We start from the raw sequence: 4,638 nt of genomic DNA on the forward strand, positions 1-4,638 counted from the left end.
CTTCACCCTTTCTTCCTCTTCCTCTTCCTCTTTGGAATATGTCTATATTCCTTGTTTCAAGGTACCTCAAGTAAACATATTTATGTGTAGTTGAAAATCATCATTAGAAAAAAGGATGTGCGATTGGAATGCTGTTGGGTGACACTAGGCTATAAAAGTCAAGAATGTCCAAATCCCGCCTTGCTTCAGCCATTTCTCCCCCAAGTGAGGTCCCCAAGGGAGACCAAAATATAATGAAAATAGTAAAGGAAATTGTCATTTGTGCTTTGTTGATAGTGACCCAACTCAAATATAGCTATCCCTTAAAAACTGGGATACAGTATGTGATTTTGGCCTATAGAGGTTTCCTTCCCTCTTTTCCTACCAGAAACTTAATTCTGACCATTGTATCACCTTTAGATCAGAACATGTGGAACAGGTTAATGAAGAGATGAGGTTGATGAGCACCTCAATGAGAAATGGCCTGCTCTTTCTCTGAGTAGGTGAATAGCCCTAGCCTATTACTACAGTTGTTAGAAGGAAGGAGAAAGAAGTTAGCTGGTAATTGTATGGGCTTCCTTGCAACCAGGTGAAGGGAGAGGATAATGTCAACAAAAGCAAATAATCAAGTTCCTTCCATTTCAAGGGAATATATTACCATGGAAAAGAGAAGTAGGCAGAGAGTGTGTGAACTTCAGTGAGACTAGTAAACCAGCCCTTCTAGGGAGTGGAAGGTGAAGGGCTGGAGGATGAAGCCCCACTCTGGTGTAAGGAGAGGTACCTAGCCCCACTCTCCTTTAGAGGCCTAAAGCTACAATTTGTTTGGTCCTTACTAAATGGCAGGCACTTTTCATAAACCAGTGCAGTAGAAATAAAGACTGTCCAAATGAAAACAAACAAAGGCTATTTATTCAGAGCTTGCTATAGCCGCCAAATGCAGCCACCACTTTGCATTTGGCAAACTCAAAGGCAGGCAGAAGAGTAGGAAAACTTTATAGTGAAAAAAGGGAAGGCTTTAGGTATGCCCTGATGTGAGGCTCTTGGCATATAAAGCTGCAGGTGGGCTAAGCAGAAATAGGATATCCTACATGATTGGCTAAGAATGCATATTTGGCTTTTTCTGTAGGTTTAAAGTTGGAAGTGGAAACAAAAGTTAGGGCAGCTGTCAATTATTAATCCAATTCTGGCCATTTTCGGCCGAGTGCTACAGAGATTATCACTTGGCTTCCTCAATTATTACTAGAGATAACATTCTGACTTCCAAAAGTTCTGACTTATAGCAGCTTGGCTTCCTGGGCTGATTATTATTGATAAGGATTGGCTTCCTGGACCTGGTTGTTACAGCTTATGGATCAAATTTCTTTTTTTAAATATATGATTGGTCATTGTCTGTTTGTATATTCAGTCTCTCACTTATAATCTTGCTGCTCAAGGCATGATCTATGAACCAGCCATGTTGGGGTCAACTGTGAGCTTGTTAAAAATGCAAAATATCAAGCCCCTCCTCAGATCATTGAATCAGAATCTACCATGTGATTCTTACCAACATTAATGTTTGAAAAATACTAAGTCATAATTCACCCTAATTTCACCACAGGGAAGCTTTATCCCTGTTTTTAAAACAAGGAAATAAAGGCTCAGAGGCATTGGCCCTAGGTTGTAAACCCAGCTGACTTCCAAGCGCTGCCTTTTGTGCTCAAATGAACCAAACCATTATTTTTTTTCTCAACAGAGTAAGGACTAATAAGTATCATGAGGTGACACAGAACCACATGCCAGTGGACTACAAGATAACCTATTCTTCACAAGAAGCACCAGGCAACATAGTGAAGTATCATTGTAGACTTTGATGAGGTCTCATGAAGAAATATCAGATTAGTGAGCCATTGGATCCCCAAGGAAAGAACATTTCTGCTGTTATGGGGAATCTTCAAAGGGCTCTAAATGGAGCAGGGACTATTGAGCTTAGATCTGTGATATTTCTTTCTTCTCATAGGAAACAAATGTAATCTATTATCACTATTCTTAAGGCATTTCACTTCACAGAAAATAAAATCATATAGATTACAACAAAGGTAGAATCATGCAATACACACATTTCTGAATTCCTTCTTTGTCCAAAAATAATACTTTTATCATTTTTATTCTCTGTTTTAGGGAATAAGGAGGACTTGCACTTGATGTCCCAAAGAGCTAGAAAGTTGTGATTATATGTTTCACCATTAAAACTGCCATAAACAAAATTAGAAAGTTATAAAAGTGTGTCACCAAGGGACCACAGTTGGTGCATCCAGTGAAGCTATACCAAGCTATAGCTATAAGTTTTTTTTTTTTTTTTCTTTTGCCTCTGAAGGAGTGAGTTGGTCATACCTAAGAAGCTCAGCTGAGGGTTATAGCAGACCCTTCCAGGTTCCCAATGGTCAGGTAAGAGACAGCAGCTTCTAGAAACACCACATGTGACAGTTAAAGGTTAATTAACAAAGATTGATGTAATTTGAAGTTCCAATTGAAAATAGGGGCTCATGGGAGTTAGGTTTAACTCTTGCTTCTGTCTCTCCTTGTCTACCTTCTACCTATAGAGAGACAAGTCAGGTAAAAATGCAATTAATTAATTGACAGTATTCTTTGTATAAAGGATTACATATTTATAGAAAAAAGTATGACTAAAGAAATTTTTCTCTCATTTCTTGTAACAGTAGTTGAGAAAAATGAACCTTTTTATTCATATTTTTTCAACACATTTATCACTTGATGATAATGAATACAAAGACCAAAAATAAAAAATTTAAACAGGGAGTAGTCACAAAATCCATCAGATGATGGCAGTTACCAATTTTTAAAATAGGCTCTACTACAAAAATATAATAAAAGATACTTTAAATATTTTTATTTATATTTAATCCCATGAGAAAAAAATCAGATTCTGTATGAATAAAGATCCAGAAGAATGTAGCTGAATTGTCTACCTAATAAAGAAACAGAACACATTCTATAGGGTAAACTTTCAAAACAAAATTTAAACTCAGAATAACTGATATACCAGTTTTAAGTAATAATCCACCAGTAAGAGTGAAAAAAGAAGATGAACCCTCTAATTGCTCTCTTTCTCTCTCTGTCACACACACATACACACGCACAGTGTGTATATTTTTTTACAGAATACAATTTTAAGCTTTCATTCTTTTTCCATGGCATGTATAGTCTCATGCTTTACTTACAGAAAAAGACATTAAGCAAAAGGAAGCCATTTCACTTCGTTTTGAGATGGGAGACCTTCCTTAGGATATTGTGTTCAGTCAGGTTCACGTTTTATTTGTACAGAAAGCTCAATACTGTGAGGTCATGGAAACATTGGGGATTAACTTTCATGCATCTGAAAACCAACTGATAGAGCTAGCAGACCTCCAGGTGAAAGAGTAGAAACAATTCTGTTGGTCATATTTTCAAAAATCTACTAAAGTTGTTTCAGGGAATCCCAGGGCCAAATGGAAGTCAGTGTGAAAGCTCCAAATCAGTGTGGCAGCTGAATACATTTGAGCAAATTTAACATAATTTTTCTTGTCACACACACAAACTGCATGTATTCTTTAAAAGGCTTAAATGTCTCTAAAATATTACAGTTCATCTATCTGATATACATTCACTCTACTTCACATATTTTTCTAAAAACTTAAGCATATGCATAATATTAAGACTATAGGTAAAATATTTTTTCAAGCACAAATAACAGTAACAAAATTGTAATACAAGACACACAGAGAACCAGAGGGAGAAGTCTTAGATCCTGGAATTTCAAATGAGACCAAGCAAAAGTTATAACCACAATCATCCCTATTTGGAAATGTTTATTATTAATTTCAAAAAGTGAATATAAATGAAACACAGACATCATCCAACATTTAAAAGCCCCAAAATGACAGAAAGTATTTTAATTACAAACTTAATATGCACCATTCACATTTATTAAAGAAGTCAAATTGCAATATTATTTTTACTTTATAAACATTCCCTTTGGTATTCAAACCCAGAGAAGGCATCATATTTCCACTTTGACTGCAAATTCAGTAGTAGTGAGGAATACTTAATAGGTGCTTGTGGTGATTTCAGGGTAAATTCAGAGAGTAGAAGTCTTGCATGAGTCACAAAGACAACATCTTTAAGTACAATAGAAAATGCTTTACATATGGTGCACATTTTTCCTGTTAAGAGGATAGATACCCTCAAGTTCAGGAATATAGAAAATAAATGGATGTAACGTTGGTTTATCTGTGACTACAGAGCAAAAATTTATTCATCTGGCATTTAAAATAATGCCCTATACTCTAAGCAACAGGTGCATAGTAAATTGAGCTAAAAGGTTATAATAAGGATATAGGTCTAATTTGGAAAATACATATTTTGCAATGGTTGTATTTTTTCTAATTCTCAAAATAAGTATTGTTTCTCAATGGATTGAGCTAAATACTATCAAAACCTGAGTGCGATTGCTTCAGGTGAGACACGCTCTTTTAAACCTATTTCTTAAAAAGATTCCTGTTGAACTTAGAAGCAGTAAGATAAAGACAGAAAAACACTGTAAGAAGAGTCAGAAATCTCAGGGTCCTGCTACTCAATTGATGTGGTTTCGGTCACATTACCAATCACTTACTTCACCTCACA

The sequence above is a fragment of the Homo sapiens genome, chromosome 6 (genome assembly GCF_000001405.40).
Source record: "Homo sapiens chromosome 6, GRCh38.p14 Primary Assembly".
NCBI classification, from domain to species: Eukaryota; Metazoa; Chordata; class Mammalia; order Primates; family Hominidae; genus Homo; species Homo sapiens.